The sequence below is a fragment of the Homo sapiens genome, chromosome 11 (genome assembly GCF_000001405.40).
Source record: "Homo sapiens chromosome 11, GRCh38.p14 Primary Assembly".
Taxonomy (NCBI): domain Eukaryota; kingdom Metazoa; phylum Chordata; class Mammalia; order Primates; family Hominidae; genus Homo; species Homo sapiens.
In genome coordinates, this window is record NC_000011.10 from 35,883,936 (window position 1) to 35,884,772 (window position 837).

Consider the following 837-nt stretch of genomic DNA (forward strand, 5'->3'; position numbering starts at 1 on the left):
CAGGCTGGAGTGCAGTGGCACGATCTCGGCTCACTGCAACATCTGCCTCTCAGGTTCAAGCGATTCTTCTGCCTCAGCCTCCTGAGTAGCTGGGATTACAGGCATGCACCCCCACACCCAGCTAATTTTTGTATTTTTAGTAGAGACAGGGTTTCACCGTGTTGGCCAGGCTGATCTCAAACTCCCGATCTCAGGTGATCCACCCTCCTCGGCCTCCTAAAGTGCTGTGATTACAGGGTGAGCCATCACACCTGGCCTTCTTTTGTCTTTTTGATAATAGCCATTCTCACAGGTGTGAGGTGATATCTCATTGTGGTTTTAATTTGCATTTCTCTGATGATTGTTGATATTGAACATTTTTTCATGTACCTGTTGACCATTTGTCTGCCTTTTTTTGAACAATATCTATTCAAGTCCTTTGCCCATTTTTGAATCTGGTTATTTGTTTTCTTGTTATTGAGCTTTTTGAGTTCCTTTTATATTTTGGGTATTAACCCCTTAAAGGCTGTATGGTTTGCAAAATGCTTTCTTGCATTCCACCGATTATCTCCTTGCTTTGTCAATTGTTTCCTTTGCTGTGCAGAAGCTTTTCAGTTTGATATAATCACATTTGTCCATTTTTACTTTTGTTGCCTGTGCTTTTCAGGACATATCCAAAAAAATGTTGCCTAGACCAATGTCAAGAAGTTTTTTCCGTTTTCTCCTAAGAGATTTGCAATTTGGAGTCTTATGTTTAAGTCTTTAATCCATTTGTATTGATTTTTTGTCTATGGTGTGAGATAAGGGTTCAATTTCATTCTTTTGTTTATGGATATCCAGTCAACACCATTTATTGAA